This window comes from Homo sapiens, chromosome 6 (genome assembly GCF_000001405.40).
Source record: "Homo sapiens chromosome 6, GRCh38.p14 Primary Assembly".
NCBI lineage: Eukaryota > Metazoa > Chordata > Mammalia > Primates > Hominidae > Homo > Homo sapiens.
The window spans coordinates 56,560,487-56,583,999 of record NC_000006.12 but is presented as its reverse complement, the minus strand read 5'-3'; the positions used below and the strand labels follow the sequence as shown (position 1 = coordinate 56,583,999).

Here is a 23,513-nt window from a genome sequence, read left to right as displayed (position 1 = left end):
AAGGCTACAGTAACCAAAACAGCATGGTACTGGTACCAAAACAGAGATATAGATCAATGGAACAGAACAGAGCCCTCAGAAATAACACCGCGTATCTACAACTATCCGATCTTTGATAAACCTGACAAAAGCAATGGGGAAAGGATTCCCTATTTAATAAATGGTGCTGGGAAAACCAGCTAGCCATATGTAGAAAGCTGAAACTGGATCCCTTCCTTACACCTTATACAAAAATTAATTCAAGATGGATTAAATACTTAAATGTTAGACCTAAAACCATAAAAACCCTAGAAGAAAACCTAGGCATTACCATTCAGGACATAGGCATGGGCAAGGACTTCATGTCTAAAGCACCAAAAGCAATGGCAACAAAAGCCAAAATTGACAAATGGGATCTAATTAAACTAAAGAGCTTCTGCACAGCAAAAGAAACTACCATCAGAGTGAACAGGCAACCTACAAAATGGGAGAAAATTTTCGTAACCTACTCATCTGACAAGGGGCTAATATCCAGAATCTACAATGAACTCCAACAAATTTACGGGAAAAAAACAAACAACCCCATCAAAAAGTGGGCAAAGGATATGAACAGACACTTCTCAAAAGAAGACATTTATGCAGCCAAAAGACACATGAAAAAACGCTCATCATCACTGGCCATCAGAGAAATGCAAATCAAAACCACAATGAGATACCATCTCACACCAGTGAGAATGGCGATCATTAAAAAGTCAGGAAACAACAGGTGCTGGAGAGGCTGTGGAGAAATAGGAACACTTTTACACTGTTGGTGGGACTGTAAACTAGTTCAACCATTGTGGAAGTCAGTGTGGCAATTCCTCAGGGATCTAGAACTAGAAATACTATTTGACCCAGCCATCCCATTACTGGGTATATACCCAAAGGTCTGTAAATCATGCTGCTATAAAGACACATGCACCCATATGTTTATTGCAGCACTATTCACAATAGCAAAGACTTGGAACCAACCCAAATGTCCAACAATGATAGACTGGATTAAGAAAATGTGGCACATATACACCATGGAATACTATGCAGCCATAAAAAATGATGAGTTCATGTCCTTTGTAGGGACATGGATGAAATTGGAAATCATCATTCTCAGTAAACTATCACAAGGCCAAAAAACCAAACACCGCATGTTCTCACTCATAGGTGGGAATTGAACAATGAGAACACATGGACACAGGACGGGGATCATCACACTCTGGGGCCTGTTGTGGGGTGGGGGTAGGGGGGAGAGATAGCATTAGGAGATATACCTAATGCTAAATGACGAGTTAATGGGTGCAGCACACCAGCATGGCACATGTATACATATGTAACTAACCTGCACATTGTGCACACGTACCCTAAAACTTTAATAAAAAAAAAAAAGAAAAGAAATACTTGAGACTGGGTAATTTATAAAGAAAAGAAGTTTAGTTGGCTCACGATTCTACAGGGTCTACAAGCATGGCACTGACATCACTCAGCTTCTGGGGAAGCCTCAGGGAACTTTTACTCATGGTGCAAGGCAAAGCAGGAGCAGGCATGTGACATGGCAAAAGCAGAAGCAAGTGAGAGAGAGAGAGAGGGAGAGAGGTGGGGAGGTGGGGAAGTGCTACATACTTTTAAATGACCAGATCTTGCTAGAATTCACTCACTGTCGAGGACAGCACCAAGATGATGATGGTAAACCATTCATGAGAAATCATCTCCCACCAGGTTCTCCCTTGAACATTGAGGATTGCATTTCAATGTGAGATTTGGGCGGGGACAAATATCCAAACTATATCAGGGGTGATATGTGGTCAGATGTATATTTTAGGTAGAACACATTAGGAGCTATATTAGAGAAGTGATTGGAGGCAGGATCTAACACAGTTAGGATTCTTTTTTCAACAATCCAAGAGAGAGATTATCCTGGAATGATCCAGAAATATGGAGCAAAAGTTGACTTTTAAAAAATATTAAGCAGGTAAAATTGTTGATTGATTTGCACGTGTGGAAAAAAAAAGCTTTAAATGGTTGATTTGCATGTGGAAAATAAGCCTTAGGATGGAATCTAGGAGGAACTTCAGGTTGACTATTTGGGTAGTTAGATATACCCCAGGAGAAAGTATAGGTACAGAGAATGAGATGATGAGTTCAGATTCAGCTTTTTTGAGTTGGAGGTGACTGCATACATCCAGATGGAAATACTCAAGAGGCAGTTGGAAAGCTAGGCCCATGGCCAAGGATGAGTTCACATCTACAACTGGACATTGGGGGCTTTGAAATCCAAATGCAGGAGTAGAAGAGGAGCATGAGTTGCTTAAGATAAATTAAAGCTGGGAATAGGCCTGTGTGGCCAGGCAGCCCACTTTTGCAGAAATCTGTAAGAGCTGTTAGAAATGCAGGGTCAAACTTCTGGAAGACGTATCTATGGCTCCTGCTTCCACCTTTTTTTCCTCCTTCCCATTGTTGAGCCACATCTGTTCACTCAGAGATACGCGGGGACTGCTACTCATTAAATTCAAGGACTCATTAGTCTTTCAGTTTACATTATCCTTTCCGAAGCAGTTGACACTGTTAACCTTTTCCACTTCTCTCTTCCTTTAATCTTTGGGGACAGAGTTATTCTGGGCCCATTTCCACCCCATCAATTACATGTGTTCTTTTTTTTCTTCTCTCCCCATCACTTATATATAAATATTCTCCATGATTCTTTAGAATCTCCTTCTCTGGCATTCCTGTGCTTTCTTGTTTAGGAGTCACATTGTGTATCTTGACTTCCAATTCTCTATGTCTGTTTCCAGTTTGGGTTCCAACTCTCTTCCATTTCCAGTTTTTGCTGTTTCCTTCTGGAGGAGGGTCCCAAAAGCACTTTGAAATCATGAATTCCAAAACAGGCATTCCTTTACTCTTAGCTTGCTCTCACTTTTTTTTTTTTTTTTTTTTTTTTTAATAAATGCCACTAATTGGCTGGGAGCCTTGGCTCATTCCTGTAATCCCAGCACTTTGGACGGCCGAGGTGGGAGGATTGCTTGAGCCCAGGAGTTTGAGACCAGCCTGTGCAATGTGGCAAAACCCTGGCTCTACAAAAAATACAAAAAAATTAGCTGGGCATGGTGGCATGCACCTGTGGTTCTAGCTAATTGGGAGGCTCAGGTGGGAGGATCACCTGAGCTTGTGAGGTCAAGGCTTCAGTGAGCCAAGACTGTACCAGTGCACTCCAGCCTGGGCAACAGAGTGAGACGCTGCCCCCCCAACCAAAAAAAAAAAAAAAAAAGAAAAAGTAAATTCCGCTAATTACCTAGGCTCAAAATCTTTGGACACTTCTACTCTTGTCTCCTCTTGTCCTTTGTTCCTGCCCTCTCCAGCAGTGCTGTCTACTAGAACATTCTGTAATTATGAAATTTATTTTTTTAAATTTTTATTTATTTATTTATTTATTTATTTTAAGAAAGTAGGAATATCACTCTGTCACCCAGGCTGGAATTAACAGTAGCATGATCATAGCCCACTGCAGCCTCAAATTCCTGGGCTCATGCGGTCTTCCTGACTCAGCTCCTGAGTAATTGAGACTACAGGCACAGACTACCGTGCCCGGCTAATTTTTTAATTTTTTTTTGTAAAGACAAGGTCTCACTTTATTACCCAGGCTGGTCTTGAACTCCTGGCCTCAAGTGATCCTCCCAAGTTGGCCTCCCAAAAAGCGTTGGGATTACAAGTGAGCCACCGCACCAGCTGGAAATACTTTACTTATATTTTGCTCTGTTCAATTGGTAGCCACTAGCCACAGTGACTACTTAGCACTTGAAATGTGGCTACTGTAACCAAGGAATGGAATTTTTAATTGTTTAAAATTTCAATTAATTTAAATTTTAAAAGCTACCTGTAGTTGGTAGCTACCATAGTGGCAGCACAGCTTTGCATAGTGTTACCAAGTCCTTTGGACTCTTCCCAACTCTAACTAATTCCACCTTCTCAGTCCAAACAGACCGAACGGTGGAATTGTCTTCAGCCCTTGGCCTTCAGTAGTCCTCACTGCTTTGTTACTGCTGAAGTTGTCCCCAGCTGGTATCTCTCCTTTATTTCGTTTCCATTGGACTTTTCCCATGCAGTGCTACAAATTTAGCCTTCCTATAGGACAGCCCTGAGCATCTCAACCCCTTACCCAAAAGCCCTGCATAACTCCCCATTGCTATGGGATAAAATGTAAACTCCTTAGCCTGATGTTTGAAGCCTTTCCAGGCCTATTTCTATTTACTCACCCATAAGCATTGTCAAACTGGATGGGACTCTCCCCTTCTCCTGTGATTCTTCTGTCCTCATCTTTGTGTCTTCTGTTTGTTCTGCAGGGAGTGGTTCTCCCAAATCCACACTTTCTTAAGGAGCCATCTCAGTGTCATTACCATTGAGGTGGCCCTCATTTCCCTCCCATTTTTTTCCTGTTAACTTCCAGCAGCATTTTTTCAGACTCACCTGTGGCACTTACCACTTCCTGCCTCGAACCATAAAATCCCTGAAAGTAAGCTTTGTGTCTGTTTTTATTTTTGTATATTCACAAAATGTAGCAAGGCTTTTTGAATTTGTTAGATGTTCAGTAACTTTTATTGAATTAACAGAAATAAACATGACTCAGTATTGAGTCAGGATCTACTGATTTGGGCGAGCTTATTTATCTCCTTTCCTGGAGTCAGAAGTGGTCTCAAATTTTGGTTGTTGTTTGTTTTAGTAGTAGTTGGGGTATTGTACAAAGCCTAGAAGTAGGGGTTAAGGGTATAAAGTTAGAGGGTTGTATGATCAGGAACCAGGGAAATTATTATGAACATATGCTCAAAGGTTTATTTCAAAACTTAATTTGTGTTATCCAGACTGGCTGATGCTTTTGCTAATGCTGCTTTATAACTGGCCTTATTCGAAGAACTCTGGAGTAAGTTGATGATGAAAGTTGGTATGATGAAAAGTTTATTCTGTCCAATTTTACTTTATCTTATTAGAAATCATTTTTTCCACATTAGAAATCTATTATTTAGTCCTGCTGAGTATAATTGAAAAGCGTTTAATCCTACAGGCTTTGCAAGGACAGATATCAAGTCAGCAGGTTGCTGTAGAGAAACTGAAGAAAACGGCTGAAGTGCTTTTAGATGCCAGGGGATCTTTACTTCCAGCCAAGAATGATATCCAGAAAACACTTGGTAAGATATTCATGTCCTTGCTTCCTGTCTCACAGGTAAATTCTAAAGAAAGGTGTCCTAATAGATATGGAGAAAAATGTTCACTAGTTATAGATTGTGTTCTATGTGCTCTTTCTCTGTGAAATGGTGTTCCTGCATCTGGGAAAAGGCATGCCTTCTTTGGCAGGTATATTAGAATCTTAGAGGCGGGGGCTATGTGTCTTGAAAAGAGTATATTTAAATTTAAATTTGATATTTAGAAAACATAACAGGAACTCGCTATGTAATGTCCACCACAGGAAGTAGAACTTCACAAAATTCTCTTGGTTGATGGGATTGGGCAGAGTTAGGCCTTCAACTTAAGGCCAAAGTAGAATCTCTGAGGGTCTTTATCAATAGTGGGAACGTGGGTTTAAGAGGTTGAGAAATGTGCTTAATTGAATTGAATTGAATTTATTTTTAGAGACAGGGGTTACTTTATTGCCCAGGCTGAGTGCAGTGGCACAATCATGTCTCACTGCAGCCTTGACTTCCTGGGCTCAAGCAGTCTTCCTCATCTCAGCCTCCTGAGAAGTAAGGACTACAGGAATGCTCTGTCATGTGCAGCTAATTTTTTAAATTTTTTTTGTAGAGATGGGGTCTCACTGTATTGTCCAGGCTAGTCTCAAACTCTTGGGCTTAAATGATCCTCCCCAAATGTTTTGTGCACAAAAGTAGCACTACAGCTGTAATCAAGTTTCTAGTATCACTAAAGAATTGGTGTAACTGAGCTCTCAATTTGAGTGAGGCCACTAAAAAACTTCTAGAACACAGAGAAGTGGGAAGACTTCTCAAAGCACATCTCTCAGGCCGGGTGCAAAAGCTGACACCTGTAATCCCAACATTTGGGGAGGATCATTTAAGCCCAAGAGTTTGTGATTAATGTGTTTCTTGAGAAAAGAGCTATTGTATATTATCTTTCTATCTAACCACAGTATTTAGTTTATACCAAATGTGCAGTGGATTATCAATACATATTTTTTACTATCTTACATATGTATTTTTTGTTTTCACTGCCCTGCTTTTCACAATATTTAATGTTATTGTGTATTTCTGTGTGTGAATATGTGAAGTAAAAATATTCCACAACAGATGATTAGACATATGTTTTACCCTAAATAGAGCATGAATTAAAATCTGAGTCAAAATTTTATTTGAAGAGAAGAATGGAACTTAGCTCTTTTAAGATCACTGTGTAAAAGGGAAATCCTGTCTTTCATTCTTACATGTATCCAGATGTTTTTTATTATGTACCCCTGTCAAAAATGATCTTCAGCCTGCATCCCCATATATGCAGATGTATGTATAAGTCATGTGAACATATTACTGTATTATTCTATGTGTTATAATTATAAAACACAAAAATATAGAGTTTTAAAGTATAAAATGAAAATATGAATGGAAGTTCTAACATTTTGTTCCTCTGTCCCAATGCAGCATCTCATATATCCACATTAGATACCATTGCTGTGAGGACTTGGGTATAAGGATATGAAGGAGAAAGAAAGACTATCTTATTTGTATTTATGTTACTCGAAGAGGCATTTTGACATTTTTTTCTTATTGTTAAGTGTACATAGTTTCACTTTTAGTTGCTTAAAATTCATTTGTTACATTATTTTAAAACTAAAACTTCTGGCATAATTTTCTAGGAAATATGTGAAACTATTTAAGGTATAGAGGAGTTTCTCTAAGATCTTTCTGACTTCTAAGAAAACCAATGATTTAAAAAAATAACATTCTTACAGTAGATTTTTGTACCTTTTTCTAAAATATTTTTTAGTTTACTAAAATGAAGAATTTACTTCAGTGACAATATTTTATCACTAAGAAGTGCAAACTAAACAGTGTCTTCGTTTAGCCCACTATGACAAAAATAGCATCGGCTGGGTAGCTTAAACAACATACATTTATTTCCAATAGTTCTGGAGGCTGGAAATCAGAGAACAGGCTGCCAGTATGGTCGGGTTCTGGTGAGGGCCCTTTTCCTGGCTTACAGATGGCCACTATCTTGCTGGTAGAGAGTGGTGGAGAGACATCATTTCTCTCCTGTTTCTTCTTCTAAGGGCGCTAATCCCATTCACACGGGCTCTACCCTCATGACCTAATTACCTCCTCAGAGAGAGAGGAAACCTGATTCTTTTTGCTACTCACTCTCATACACCATTGAACATGACACAGAACACTTCTGTGACCAGATGTGTGTGTATTTCTCCCCATACACCAAACAATTCTCCAACAGATACCAGCTGGATGTCCTATAATTCAATTCAGTTCAATTCAATTCTGACACTGTCTACCTGGAATTAGCTTCAGACCCCACAGGTTAAGGGGTCAGTCTCATAATGCTGCCCCCCACTTCAGATACCAATCACAAGTCCCAAATTGTGATCCGTATTTCAGACTGATCAGCTATAAATTAGGATTCCCATGACCCTTCTCACGTTCAATTAATTGCTAGAGTGACTCACAGAACTCAGAGAAAGACTTTACTTACATTTACCCACTTACTATAAAGAATATTACAAAGGATACAGATGAACAGCCAGATGGAAGAGATACACAGGGTGAGGTATGGGAGAAGGGGAGCAGAATTTCTGTGCCCTCTATGGGCATGCCATGCTCAGGACTCCATGTGTTCAGCTATTCAGAAGCTCCCCAGACGAATCCTATTGGGTTTTTATGGCAGCTTCATTACATAAGCATGATTGATTACATCATTGGCCATTGGTAGCAGCTCAATCTTCAGCCCCTCTTCCCTCCTCAGAGGTTGACAGGGTGACAGTTCCAACTGTCTAATCACATGGTTGATTCCCTGGCAACATCTGCCACTGTCCCCTGCTCCCCCTACCCTAAGACTATCCAGGAGGCCACCAGGCGTCACCTCATTCAAACAAAAGATGCCCCTCATGAAGGAATTCCAAGGGACTTAGGAGCTCTGCCATACACTCCTGTCACTTAGGAAATCACAAAGGTCTTAGGAGCTCTATGTCAGGAACTGAGGTCAACGACCAAATATCAGAACAAAAGATTCTCTTAGTGTCTGTATTACTGAGGAAATCAGAAGGGTTTTAGGAACTCTATGTCAAGAGCTATGGCCAGAGACCAAATATTTCTTATTATATGATAATATCACATCTTCCAAAGGCCCCAGCACCCAACACTATCACATTGGGACTTTGGCCCCAATATATGAATTTTGGGGGACACATTTAGTCTATAGCAAACTAACACTCAAATCTGTTAATTATATGAAAATAGCTGGCTTTCCTTCGAAAGTCACTTATTATGGCTGAACAGGTCACTCATTTTACTTACCCTGTTGATGCAGTTGCCCAATTAAGAAGTCGCTAACCTGCCAACTTCAAGCTGCCATTCAGAGCATGTGCTCTTGTGAGTTTCCAAATTAGAGCTCATTTTTTTTCTTCAACTTTTATTTTAGAATCAGAGGGTACATATGCAGGTTTGTTAGAAAGGTATATTGTATGATGCTGAGGTTTGGCATATGATCGAACCCATCACCCAAGTAATGAGCATAGTCTCCAACAGGTAGTTTTTCAGCCCTTACCTTCCCACCCCTCTCCCCCAACTAGTAGTTTCCAGCATCTATTGTTGAGAGCTTATTTTTGAACCCACTGCTTGTTTCCTCTGCCGATGGCATTTTCGTGCATATTAAATGCTGTCTCCCTCCCCACTCAGTATGCTGATGGGCTTCATTGAGTTTTAGTAAGAGGAGCATGATTTTCTCTTTAAATCATCCAAACTTAACCTCTCACTCCAGTGAAAATTTTCAAGATGTTTTCTCATGTTGTAGCATTAGAACAATTATATTATTTTGTTGTATAGATTATGTTTCATGGGCCAAATACAAGTCAGTAAGATGTTAGAGATGTTTCAGGACACAGCTTGTCCCTACTGAAGCGTTCTACAATGTATAAGACTAAAGCATTCAGAAATAATTAAAATATTTTTCAAATTCTCGGACAATAAGTGATAAATAAATTTAAAACATCATTTTCCAGAGAGAAAGAGATGAATACATTAAAAACCATTGTTCAAACTTTTCATTGGTCTACAATATAGAATGTAGGATGTTAACATGTAGGGCTTTAGTCAAGTGAAAACTGGACGAGAAAGGGTTTTTTTTTTTAGCATCTTGAATCTTTAGAATTGAAGATAAAGTTTATCCTCATATGAGATAGGTTAGCCTGTTTATTTTTCTCTTTTGTCTGCTGTTAAACTTTTAAATAAATTCAATTAGTGTATATTTTAGAAGCATAATCTTAACTTTAAATGGATTTTCATTGTTGCCTGTTTTCTTAATTACTTGCATCTGCCAGTTTCTGTGCATTTGAGTGATTTGCTTAAGTTGTGAAGTATGACAAAAGCTTAGCATGCGTGTGTATGAAGGAGGGAGATAGGGTGATAATTTTTATATGTAAAAGTTAATTCTTCAGAAATCTTTGTAACTGTGTATTGTCTTGAGAATGGCTGTGTGTGACTCACCTTTTTTTCCTCCGAAAGTAATTTTCAATAAGTATGGCTAATGTGAAATGTCAGATTGAGAACCAGTATTTATTTCAAAGATTTGCTGTTCGGACTACTCTTTTGTCTCTCTGTGACAATTCAAATGTTTATGCATCCAAAAAAATCTCTTTTCAAATGCAGATGGGATATATATTAACTTTTAAAAAAAGATTTCAATTTTCAGTATCCATTGGGCTCTTTTCTTTCTTTATATTTTAACATTTTAGGTGGTGTTCTGATTATGCATTAGGAATTTATCATTGAACTTTTTATTTTTTAAATTTTTTGTGTGGAAATTGTATGATTCACCTTCATGTGTTTTTGAAAAGGGATAGGGCAAAGAGAACTTTGTGGTTAATATTCCTGATCTGTTTGGAGTAGATGACATTGTTGGGAGATATGAGGATCTGTCCAAGTCTGTTAATGAACGAAATGAAAAACTCCAGATAACCTTGACCCGTTCACTGAGTGTGCAGGATGGCTTGGATGAAATGCTGGACTGGATGGGAAATGTGGAAAGTTCTCTGAAAGAACAAGGTCAAGTGCCTTTAAACTCTACTGCTCTTCAGGATATTATCAGTAAAAACATTGTAAGTGACTTTAAAAAAAAGTCCCATTTTCAGTTTTTTAAAAAAACAGTTTTATAAGCTCAAAGTGTAGTTAGATTTAAGATAAACTTAAGGACACAAAAAAGAGACATTTACTGAATATGAGTGTGGAAAGTAATGCTTGCACAAAATCAAGTGTGTAAAATGGTTTATCTGTGAAGAAGTGTAGGAAGGACTTTGTGTACTTTTTCTTGAATATTATTCATTATAGAGGGCTTATGCATACATTGAGTCTTATCTTGTTTATCATTGTTTCAGCCAGCTGCACATGAGGTTAATCAGATCAGTCTTGTCTAGTCTTTTAAGAATTAGGACCATGGCTAATCCCCAGGCTCCATTAGATTCTAGGGGTTGCTGAGTAGCAGCAGCCTCCTGCCTCTTTCGACCAACTAGCCAGCTGTTCTTCACTCTCTCAGAGAGATTTAAGATGGCATTCCTCAAGGGACAGACCAAACTTGTCATTCAGTTTCAACTGTTAACCTTCCTAGGCACAGGTTGTGCAAGCTTATGTTGTTAGGAATAGTCATTTAAAAAAATTCTGTCACATTATTTATAAGCATCATAATAAAAGATATGCAATATTTGGTTTATTTTAGATGTTGGAACAGGATATTGCAGGTCGTCAGAGCAGTATAAATGCCATGAATGAAAAAGTGAAGAAATTTATGGAAACAACAGATCCATCCACTGCATCCTCACTGCAAGCCAAAATGAAAGACTTGTCTGCTCGGTTTTCAGAAGCAAGTCATAAACACAAAGAAACTCTTGCCAAAATGGAGGAGCTAAAAACCAAAGTAGAACTGTTTGAGAACCTCTCAGAAAAGCTCCAGACATTTTTAGAAACAAAAACTCAGGCTCTTACTGAAGTAGATGTGCCAGGAAAAGATGTTACTGAATTGTCTCAGTATATGCAGGTATGCCTCCCTTACTACTCAGGAGGCTAATCAGATAGATTAATAGTTAGGGCAAACTCATATACTTAGTGCCAGAATTATAATTGGCAATCATTTTAATTGCTTATAGATTAGTAAAGATCTATGTTTTACTCCTTTAAGAATTTCAAACCTTATCTTTTCCTTGAAGCCTTTGCTGATTGATTGGAAATAAATATCATTTATCACATGTATCATAGGTAGTATAAGTATCATCTTACGTACCAGAAGCCACAAAGAGACAAAATATAGAATGCATTTTAAATTAAATAAGGTTTACTGTGTTCCCTTTCAAATAGCCTATATGCATGTTTATTATATTTAGAATACTGGCCATAGGCAGACTCATTCTTATGTGAAATTATGAATAGAGCCATTCTGATCCCGCACAGACCTCTGGATGGAATGCCATTTGAAGATCTAGCAACATTTATATTGACTGAATATCTTAATGCTTTGTAGGAATCAACTTCTGAATTTTTAGAACACAAGAAACATCTTGAAGTTTTGCATAGTCTCTTGAAGGAGATATCCAGCCATGGCTTACCAAGTGATAAGGCTTTGGTCCTTGAAAAAACAAATAATTTGTCAAAGAAATTCAAGGAAATGGAGGATACCATCAAAGAAAAGTAAGTACCACTTTAAAAATTATATTTTATTCTATTTATATTAATTAGAGTGAGATACTTGTATTTACTTATATAGATAACTGAAACAATTTTGAAAACTTGAGAATAAGCATAGGGCTACTTTATAGATGTTTTTATATTTTGATCATTTTTTGCTATTAAAGTTAACTGCATTATTTGGTTTAACATTTAGAAGGAAAATTCAATACTTCTTACATAAAAGTGGAAAATGTTGCATAAGAAAAACGATGGCGGTGGTATATTACTGAAAATGATCTAAACTTGCTGTAGTCTCTGAAGCCTAGGGCAAATATCACATTTTTATTTGCAAAGGCAGAAATAACCTTGAACAACAGCTCGTGGTTCTTTGCTTTCTGAGCTCAACTCAGAAACGATGTGCAATTTCAATATGGCCTTTTTAATATAATAGTTTACTTTTTAAAGAGCAGTAGATGAGATATGAACCTGTGAAAAAACACTATTAGAAACAAGTGAATGAACCTAAGTTGAGCTAAAAAGCTGTACAGGGCCTTGTGATTGAGCTTTTGTGTTTCTGATCTCACGTTAGTTTAGAATATACATCGGATTTTGCTAAAGTTTATGTAGAAAAGCCTCAGAACATAGAAAAGTCATTTCTCTTCCAACTACTGTTCTTTATTTCTTCAGAATTCTCTACCTAAAATGTTTGAGTGCTGCCTTTACTTCTCACAGAGCTATATGTTCCATCCTGTCATATGGTATTTAATTCACATTGCGTAGAAGAAATGTTCTTGGTTTTCTTAGGTGATCTCTAGGTTGTTTCTTCTTTCAAATGGGTCCAACTTTAAAATAATGTAGTTATCAGTATTAGTCCAGCTGCAGTGCATTCTTATCTGCCAGTATTCTGCACGCTTGCATATATGTACGTGTCATCCACATGCCAGATGTAACTGTCCTCACAGTTGTTCATGTGCTGGGCATGTGCACTGCCTCCGTGGTGCAGAGCATACAGAACGACCCATACAGTTCACCAGGGAGTTTCCTGAGTCTCTGTAGGGGAGGCACACATGAAAATTCTCTAGTCACTAGGTTTCAACTCATTTTGGGAGACTTGAATCTGGACTACCTGCAGCAGTTTATCCATCCATAAACGTGACTGTAGTATAGTGTAGAAACCAGTAGGTGGCATTATGTTTTCCTCATGTCAGTGATTGTCAACCTTTCCCTTCTGGTTCTGTGCCTGCCGGCATTCAGCATCACATAAAGGGGACAGATCAAAGCTCATTGAATGTAAATAATGTTCAAACTGTTTGTGTATTCTTAGAGTTTATGTAGCATTATAGAGAGTGCCATTACATATGGGCTACAGATTTCTTGAATACTCCTATCTTTATCAATGAACCTTGCCTGAAAAATAGACCAACAGTTATTTAGCTCAGGGGTCCCCTAACCCCTGAGGTATCTACTGGTCTATGGCCTATTATGAACTGGGCTGCACAGTAGGAGGTGAGTGGTGGCAGCAAAGCTTCATCTGTATTTACAGCTGCTCTCCATCTCTCACATTGCTGCCTGAGCTCTGCCTCCTGTCAGATCGTCAGAGGCATTAGATTCTCATAGGACCAGGAACCCTATTGTGAACTGCATGCAAGGGATCTAGGGTGCATGCTCCTTATGAGAATCTAATGCCTGATGATCTGCCACCATCTCCCATCACCCCCAGATGGGACTGCCTAGTTTCAGGAAAACAAGCTCAGGCTCCCATTGATTCTACATTATGGCGAGTTGCATAATTATTTTAATATATATTACAATGTAAATATAATAGAAATAAAGCACACAATAAATGTAATGCATTTAATCATCCCAAAACCATCCCCCCTCCCTGGCCTGTGGAAAAAATTATCTTCTACGAAACTGGTCCCTGGTACCTGAAAGGCTGGGGACTACTGATTTAGCTGATTTCAGTTGTCACCTATGAAACCTTTCCTCCTGTATCAAAGGGTTAGAGTACATGGAAGATGGTTTCTTAACATTGTGTGACATGAGAATAATAATTTATTTATTCTTCTTTCTGTGACTTAAATTCTTGTATGATTTTTGTTATGTAGAAAAGAAGCTGTAACTTCTTGTCAAGAACAGTTGGATGCTTTCCAAGTTCTTGTTAAATCATTGAAGTCATGGATAAAAGAAACAACAAAAAAAGTTCCCATTGTACAGCCTTCTTTTGGTGCAGAGGATTTAGGAAAATCTTTGGAAGACACTAAGGTGAATCATTGTTATCTAATACTAAATTTCCATTTGTGTCAATAATGAAAGATTAAAAGACTAATGGTAGTTTTCTTTGATCTAATATCATCTAAGTTTTATCCTCATATATGTACTGTATATTTTGTTGACCTTTGGAAATCATGGCATGGGGCTTAACTAATTCTTTTGGAAAAGGACATAAATTTTCAGTGGATTTGCTTTTTTAAAAAAAGGTGAATTAATGAGTTGCTGACTATTCTAGTAATCAAGTTTCCTTTCCTACCAAATCTCTACTTAGTTTCAGTAATTTTTTATACCACTTCTCATAATATTAAGCAAAACATCCTCTTCACTCAGCATTTTACTCTAGCTTGTATATATTACTATAAAGAGTATTTGGAAAGAGAAGTTATTTGAATCTCCTGCATAAATAGTGCACAAGTCTTTTGTCTTCTGACTCAAGGCTTATGCCTTGACCAATATGGCATTTTTTTTCCCCCATTCCAAATTTGTGGATGTGTGTGTGTGTTTTTGTTTTTTTTTTTTTTCGAGACAGAGTCTTGCTCTTTTGCCCAGGCTGGAGTGCAGTGGTGTGATCTTGGCTCACTGCAAGCTCTGCCTCCTGGGTTCACGCCATTCTCCTGCCTCAGCCTCCCTAGTAGCTGGGACTACAGGTGGCTGCCACCACGCCCAGCTAATTTTTTGTATTTTTTTTAGTAGAGACAGGGTTTCATCATGTTAGCCAGGATGGTCTCGATCTCCTGACCTCATGATCCACCTGCCTTGGCCTTCCAAAGTGCTAGGATTACAGGTGTGAGCCACCTCGCCCGACCGTGTGTGTGTTTTTAAAAGTAATTGAAATTTTTAGGATTAAAATATGCTGTAAAATGAAGTTCTGAATTCCTATTTATTTTTATTGTTCCTAGTACCTTTTATTTGTGACTGGTCTCTTACCTAGTACAGTTTTACAGACTTACAGTTGACAGTTATTTTGGAACCCATAGCAGCCAGGAATAGCCTGACTCCCACTTTGGCTAGGATTTTACTTGCCACTTCTGAAACCTTTGAAGGCAGAATGGGCCATACATACCCAACCGTTAACTGAGATAACAGTCACCTGGGCTGTGGGAACAAATAGGTGCCTTTTTCTTTCATCGACTCCCTCACAAATCAGGGTCTACAATTATTACTACTTTAAGATATGTTTAAGAAACTGAATTATAATGTGCAACTCTGAAAATATTAAGATGGAAAAATAATGTGTTTTTATATCTCAAGAAATTACAAGAAAAGTGGAGTTTAAAAACACCAGAGATTCAGAAAGTAAACAACAGTGGGATCTCACTATGTAACTTAATAAGTGCTGTGACCACCCCTGCAAAGGCAATAGCAGCAGTTAAATCAGGTATGAGCTTTATTTACATTTATGGCAAAAACTAAGAATCAGGTTTACTCATGTCAATTTTGTGTATGTTATTTTTTAAATTAATGCATAAAATAACCTCAGAAATACAAAGTGAAAGTGACAAGAAACATGGCATCTGTAAGCACACTGTGCTGGGAATGTATCTGTACTAATCAAATTTCAAATCCTTCTTATGTTTTATTTTATTAGACTGTATTTAAAATGTAGCTAAATTAATATGTAAGAATAAGGAATGTTATATTGGGGAAGGGAACAGATCATATTCAAATTTGTTTGCTTTTTACCTTAATTAAATGGAGATATTGAAATTCTATTTAAAATATTTAATTATAATATTTGATAAAGAAATGAGTCTGGGCAGCTGGGAAAGAAGTGAGGGAAGGAAATAGGCCCTTTTCTATAGCGTGGGCACTCTGTTATTTTATTCCTGCGTATTTTATTCTGTACATCATTCCCAAAGAAAACAATTATGCAGTATGTGAGCCGGCATATCTGTATCGCAATCTAAGTCATGGTTGAGCCACCTTTCTCAATAAAATGGGAGATTCATGTGTAAATATTGATTCTAAAATTAATTTAAGCAAGTTATGGGTATAGTTTTTAGTTTGAAACATACAGTAACAAGTTTTTTTAAAAAAATAATGGGCAGAAGGCAGCTCTGATATCTTTTTTCTGAGAGTTCTGAGTATCCTCTGTGGGGTATCTAGTCTGACCAGCCCCCAGCTGTCCCTATTGTGATACTGATGTTCCAGCTGGGCCCTTCTCAGCCAACCATTTATTCCACTCTATTAATCCTATTTCAGGGACTACCCATATTATAATGGTGTGATGATTTCTCCTTTTTCTTCTAATCAGATTTCCTGAAGTGTGAAGTTTTGTTGTTTTTTTTTTAAGAAGAGGAATTCTACTGTGCTTTATTTATTTTAGCTCTTCATGTCCCCTTTATATTTGCCATAAATATCAAGTGTTTTTTTTGTTGTTGTTGCTGTTGCTTTGGGATTTTTTTTTTTTTTTTTTTACTCTTGGTAACTACCAAGCATGGTAGGAATTAGTAGTGAGCATCTACAGGATATTTTCACTTCCATCTGAAATCCCATCATGTTTAATTTTTTTTAAAGGGACAAAGTTAAGATTCAGATATTTTAATGTTTCTGTTTAGACTTGTTATTATGTTTTTGATCTGAGAAATGTCTTTGTGTTTTGGATACATAGCCGATAGATACTAGTATGAGAAAGTCTAACTGATATTTTAATATTCTGATTATGAAAAAGTACCAATGCTAGATTGTTATGTAATAAAAGTGAACTGTTAGTTTACTGCTTACTGACTAGTTTCTACTTGCTAAGCAATGGACCTTTGGTTCCCACAGTGGTGTTTGGTTCCCACAGTTAGGTATTATTATTCCCATCAGTTTGGCTGATTGATTTGTCCAGTCACCTGGCTAGTAATTAGTGAGGCTGGGGCTTAAATTTAGGTAAGTTATACAGCAAGACCTAGGTACTCCTAACCACCATGCTCTCTCTTAGTGTTGACGTAATATGAGTTTAATAATCGATTTATTTTCTTTTTCACTTTCAACTTCTTTTTTATGTATTTAAAAAAATTATTCTGCCTCCATTAAGCCCATGATAACACCATGTAACTGCACCAGACAATTTTCAATCTTTAAGTAAGGCAGATGCTCTTTTGTCAGTCATGTATGCATTGTTCAACACACTTATATACTGAGCACCTTCTGAGCTTCAGGACCTTTATCATTAAGATAATTTTAACAGTAAAGTGAGAGGTGGCTGGCAAGATGGCTGAATAGGAACAGCTCCAGTCTGCAGCTCCCAGTGAAATCAATGCAGAAGGCGGGTGATTTCTGCATTTCCAACTGAGGTACCCAGCTCATCTCATTGGGACTGGTTAGACAGTGGGTGCAGCCCACGGAGGGCGAGCAGAAGCAGGGTGGGGTGTTGCCTCACCTCGGAAGCACAAGGGGTCGGAAAACTTCCCTGCCTAGCCAAGGGAAGCTGTGAGGGACTGTGCCATGAGGAATGGTGCATTCTGGCCCAGATACTACACTTTTCCTATGGTCTTCGCAACTCACAGACCAGGAGATTCCCTCGGGTGCCTGCACCACCAGGGCTCTGGGTTTCAAGCACAAAACTGGGTGGCCATTTGGGCGGACACCAAGCTAGCTGCAGGAGTTTTTTTTTCTATACTGCAGTGGCACCTGGAACACCAGTGAGACAGAACCATTCACTCCCCTGGAAAGGGGGCTGAAGCCATGGAGCTAAGTGGTCTAGCTCAGCAGATCCAACCCCTACGGAGCCCAGCAAGCTAGGATCCACTGGCTTGAAATTCTCACTGCCAGCACAGCAGTCTGCAGTCGACCTGGGATGCTTGAGCTTGGTGAGGGGAGGGGTGTCCACCATTACTGAGGCTTGAGTAGGTGGTTTTCCCCTCACAGTGTAAACAAACTGCCAGGGAAGTTCGAACTGGGCAGAGCCCACCGCAGCTCAGTAAAGCTGCTGTAGCCAGACTGCCTCTCTAGATTCCTCCTCTTTGGGCAGGACATCTCTGAAAAGGCAGCAGCACCAGTCAGGGTCTTATAGATAAAACCCCCATCTCCCTGGGACAGAGCACCTGGGGGAAGGGGTGGCTGTGGGAGCAGCTTCAGCAGACTTAAACATCCCTGCCTGCTGGCTCTGAAGAGAGCAGCGGATCTCCCAGCACAGTGCTCAAGCTCTGCTAAGGAACAGACTGCCATCTCAAGTGGGTTCCTGACGCCTGTGCCTCCTGACTGGAAGACACCTCCCAGCAGGGGTCGACAGACATCTCATACAGGAGAGCTCCAGCTGGCATCTAGCAGATGCCTGAGTAAACCAATAAGTTCTGAAATTGAGGTAGTAATTAATAGCCTATCAACCAAAAAAAGCCCAGGACCAGACAGATTCACAGCTGAATTCTAGCAGAGGTACAAAGAGGAGCTGGTATCATTCCTTCCGAAACTATTCCAAACAATAGAAAAAGAGGGACTCTTAGCCGGGCGTGGTGGCTGATGCCTGTAATCCCAGCACTTTTGGAGGCCAAGGCGAGCGGATCACAAGATCAGGAGATTGAGACCATCGTGGTTAACACGGTGAAACCCCATCTCTACTAAAAATACAAAAATTAACTGGGCTTGGTGGTGGGTGCCTGTAGTCCCAGCTACTCAGGAGGTTGATGTGGGAGAATGGCGTGAACCCAGGAGATGGAGCTTGCGGTGAGCCGAGATTGTGCCACTGCACTCCAGCCTGGGTGACAGAGCAATACTCCGTCACAAAAAAAAAAAAAGAAAAAAAAAAAAGAAAAGAGAAAGAGGGACTCCTCCCTAACTCATTTTATGAGGCCAGCATCATTCTGATACCAAAACCTGGCAGAGACACAAAAACAGAAAATTTCAGGCCAAGATCCCTGATGAACATCGATGCAAAAATCCTCAGTAAAATACTGGCAAACTGAATCCAGCAGCACATCAAAAAGCTTATCCACCACGATAAAATCGGCTTTATCCCTGGGAAGCAAGGCTGGTTCATACCCAATCAATAAACGTAATCCATCACATAAACAGAACCAACAACAAAACCCACATTATTATCTCAATAGATGCAGAAAAGGCCTTCGATAACATTCAACCCTCCATGCTAAAAACTCTTAATAAACTAGGTATCGATGGAATGTATCTCAAAACAATAAGAGTTATTTGTGACAAACCCACAGCCAATATCATAGTGAATGGGCAAAAGCTGGAAGCGTTCCCTTTGAAAACTGGCACAAGACAAGGATGCCCTCTCTCACCAGTCCTATTCAGCATAGTATTGGAAGTTCTGACCAGGCAATCAGGTAAGAGAAAGTAATAAAGGATATTCAGACAGGAAGAGAGGAAGTCAAATTGTCTCTATTTGAGGATGACATAATTATATATTTAGAAAACCCCATCATCTCAGCCCAAAATCTCCTTAAGCTGTTAAGCAACTTCAGCAAAGTCTCAGGATACAAAACCAATGTGCAAAAATCACAAGCATTCCTGTACACAAATAATAGACAAACAGCCAAACCATGAGTGAACTCCCATTCACAATCGCTACAAAGAGAATAAAATACCTAGGAATAGAACTTACAAGGGATGCGAAGGACCTCTTCAAGGAGAACTACAAACCACTGCTCAAGGAAATAAGAGAGGATACAAACAAATAGAAAAACATTCCATGCTCATGGGTAGGAAGAATCAATATCGTGAAAATGGTCACACTACCCAAAGTAATTTGTAGATTCAGTGCTATCGCCATCAAGCTACCATTGACTTTCTTCACAGAATTAGAAAAAACTACTTTAAATTTCATATGGAACCAAAAAAGAGCCCGTATAGCCGAGACAATCCTAAGCAAAAAGAACAAAGCTGGAGGCATCATGCTACCTGACTTCAAACTATACTACAAGGCTACAGTAACCAAAACAGCATGGTACTGGTACCAAAACAGACATATAGACCAACAGAACAGAACAGAGGCCTCAGAAATAACACCACACATCCGCAACTATCTGATCTTTGACAAATCTGACAAAAGCAATGGGGGAAGGATTCCCTATTTAATAAATGATGTTGGGAAAACTAGCTAGCCATATGCAGAAAACTGAAACTGGACCCCTTCCTTACACCTTATACAAAAACTAACTGAAAATGGATTAAAGACGTAAACGTAAGGCCTAAAACCATAAAAATCCTAGAAGAAAACCTAGGCAAATACCATTCAGGACATAGGCATGGGCAAAGACTTCATGACTAAAACACCAAAAGCAATGGCAACAAAAGCCAAAATTGACAAATGGGATCTAATTAAAGAGCTTCTGCACAGCATAAGAAACTATCATCAGAGTGAACAGGCAACCTACAGAATGGGAGACAAATTTTGCAACCTATCCACCTGACAAATGGCTGATACCAGAATCTACAAGGAACTTATACAAATTTACAAGAAAAAAAACAACCCCATCAAAAAGTGGGCGAAGGATATGAACAGACACTTCTCAAAAGAAGACATTTATGCAGCCAACAGACACATGAAAAAATGCTCATCATCACTGGTCATTAGAGAAACGCAGATCAAAACCACAATGAGGTACCATCTCACACTAGTTAGAATGGCAATCATTAAAAAGTCAGGAAACAACAGATGCCGGAGAGGATGTGGAGAAATAGGAACACTTTTACACTGTTGATGGGAGTGTAAATTAGTTCAACCATTGTGGAAGACAGTGTGGCAATTCCTCAAGGATCTAGAACCAGAAATACCATTTGACCCAGCAATCCTATTACTGGGTATATATCCAAAGGACTATAAATCATTCTAATAAAGACACACACACACCTATGTTTATCGCAGCACTATTCACAATAGCAAAGACTTGGAACCCACCCAAATGCCCATCAATGATAGACTGGATAAAGAAAATGTGGTACATATATACCATGGAATACTATGCAGCCATAAAAAAGGATATGTTCATGTCCTTTCCTGGGATATGGATGAAGCTGGAAACTATCATTCTCAGCAAACTAACACAGGAACAGAAAACCAAACACCGCATGTTCTCACTCATAAGTGGGAGTTAAACAATGAGAACACATGGATACGGGGATGGGAACATTACACACCGGGGCCTGTCAGGGGGTGGGGGGCCTGGGGGGTGGATAGCATTAGGAGAAATAATGTAGATAATGGGTTGACGGGTGCAGCAAACCTCCATGGCATGTGTATACCTATGTAACAAACCTGTACATTCTGCACATGTATCCCAGAACTTAAAATATAATAAAATAAATAAATAAAAATAAATACAAATTAAAAAAAAACTAAAGCTCCACTTACTGCTCTAAAATACAATTTAATAAATATGATTCTTCCTAGAATAAAGGAATTTATTGGATAAAACACAAAGCAACTTCACAAAAATTTTTATGAATTAATATTTAATGATTAATTTATATAATATAAACATACTGAAATGGTAGTGTTTAAGACAATACTTTAAGAATAAATTTTACATAGAAGAGAGGATATTGTTTGATATTTACATTTTGGACCTTCATTTGATTTTGAAGTTGAGTCAGTGTTTTATGTGTGATTACTGTTGATGGGGTTTGATTTAATGCCATCTACTGTTAATGTATAGAAATACTATGAAACTGTGATTATTTTAGTGTTACTATTTTTGCAGGTGGAGCAGTATTAAATGGTGAAGGAACAGCCACAAATACTGAGGAATTTTGGGCAAATAAAGGTGAGTATTAATTTTAATTTGTTACTGATTAATGTAATTTGATGTTTTTTTAATAAGAGAAAATCTTAGAGGCAAACAGTAGTTATATTGAAATTTCAAGCCTGAATTACAATGGTATTTAATCTAATAGTCACAATCTCCATAAAAATTATATTTATATAACATTTTTTGCAGTTTTGTGTATCTGAAATAAGTAAAATCAAGTTGTTCAGTTTGACACTTGGTTTTGTTGCTTTCTTTTTGGTTAATTTGAGATATTTTGTCACTTGGGATAACGTTATTTGACCTAATTTATTGAGTTTGGTGCTTGAGATATTGCTAAGTAACATTTTGTGGTTTGTTTTTTGTTACATTTAAAATGTCTTTTTTATTTCACTTGTTATGCAATTTTCTTGAATTATTTGTGACTAAATAGCATTATAAGATGATCCAAACTTTTATTTCTGAAAAGCTTATGACTTTATCTACTAGGCTTAATAATGACAAGCTAGAAGTGACAAAATACCATGTAAAACAAACTTTTATTTCTAGACCTCTGCTCCAAATGTCCTGAAAATGTGTCAGTATAGTTGTTTTTCTTACTCCTAGGTTTAACATCCATTAAAAAGGACATGACTGACATAAGTCATGGTTATGAAGATCTTGGCCTCTTACTCAAGGACAAAATAGCGGAACTGAACACTAAACTCTCCAAATTGCAAAAGGCTCAGGAAGAATCAAGTGCAATGATGCAGTGGTTACAGAAAATGAACAAAACTGCAACAAAATGGCAGCAGACACCTGCACCTACAGATACTGAAGCTGTGAAGACTCAAGTTGAGCAGAATAAGGTATATTCTGTGGGTGCACCTATGGAAGACATGAAAGAGAATGGATTAGCAGTTGGAACGGAGCTCTGGTAGTCAGAAGCTCTGCTCTGTTTTCTTTTCTAGCTCTGTAACCTTTAGCACATAATTGACAGTTTTGTTTAATGTGCCTTTCTATAAAGATTGATAATAATAGTTACTTTTTTTTAAATTTTTGGCACAGCCATGTCATAGGTTAGCAAACTGTTGGGTGTAAGCCACTTTGCCACCTTTAAATCAGTTTAAGTCTAGGATGTTAACCAGTCAACTACTGGAAAAGATTTATTTAAGGGCTAAATGTATGAAGGATCTGTTCTCTGTAGTATAAAAATAGGGTAGCTAATACCTTCCTTTTCTTTAATAGAGGGTATTTCTTTCTACAGCTGCCAAGGTTGGGAAAATGGCTTTATATGGTAGCAGTGATGGCAAGATTTCTACAAATTACCAACCTACATTTGAATTCTATAATGTGTTGCCCAAAAAAAGTGTTTATTCACATGTAGATTCTCCACTTCTGGCAGCCTTTATTAAGACTGATTTTCTTATTTATTATAATTTTACTGATATCATCTTGCTTTATTCCAGAGTGGCTTGTTTGAATATATGAAATTCTTTCTCACTAATGGGGACAAGAGTCATTATCTTCATAGTCATAGTGTTCCTCTGTGGGGATTCCTGTATCACACAATTGAACACTAGCTAAGAAGAGGAAAGGAAAATAATTGCAAAATCCAGGCCCTCACCCACCACAACATTTAACAGTAGATTTTTTCCTCTTTTCATTATTCTAGAGAAAAATAATGCTC

General features: G+C 38.3%; 1 protein-coding gene across 10 annotated transcripts in view, besides 1 other annotated feature; it reads left to right on the top strand.

Annotated features, from left to right (window-relative positions):
* The window catches only part of DST (dystonin), a 496,835-nt gene that overhangs the window by 370,831 nt on the left and 102,491 nt on the right, over positions 1-23,513 (top strand). For all 10 annotated transcript variants that reach the window (NM_001144769.5, NM_001374722.1, NM_001374736.1 and 7 more), the window contains 8 exons: positions 5,063-5,186; positions 10,113-10,321; positions 10,936-11,253; positions 11,734-11,900; positions 13,988-14,144; positions 15,405-15,531; positions 21,800-21,862; positions 22,451-22,692. In NM_001144769.5, the coding sequence (NP_001138241.1) occupies positions 5,063-5,186; positions 10,113-10,321; positions 10,936-11,253; positions 11,734-11,900; positions 13,988-14,144; positions 15,405-15,531; positions 21,800-21,862; positions 22,451-22,692 (1,407 nt within the window). The remainder of the gene's footprint in view (positions 1-5,062; positions 5,187-10,112; positions 10,322-10,935; positions 11,254-11,733; positions 11,901-13,987; positions 14,145-15,404; positions 15,532-21,799; positions 21,863-22,450; positions 22,693-23,513) is intronic.
* Positions 22,482-22,682: a silencer, noted in NCBI's record as "peak5860 fragment used in MPRA reporter construct". NCBI's record gives its function as "represses an SCP1 promoter by STARR-seq MPRAs in K562 erythroleukemia cells {active_cell/tissue: K562}" and the evidence as "EXISTENCE:reporter gene assay evidence [ECO:0000049][PMID:32103011]".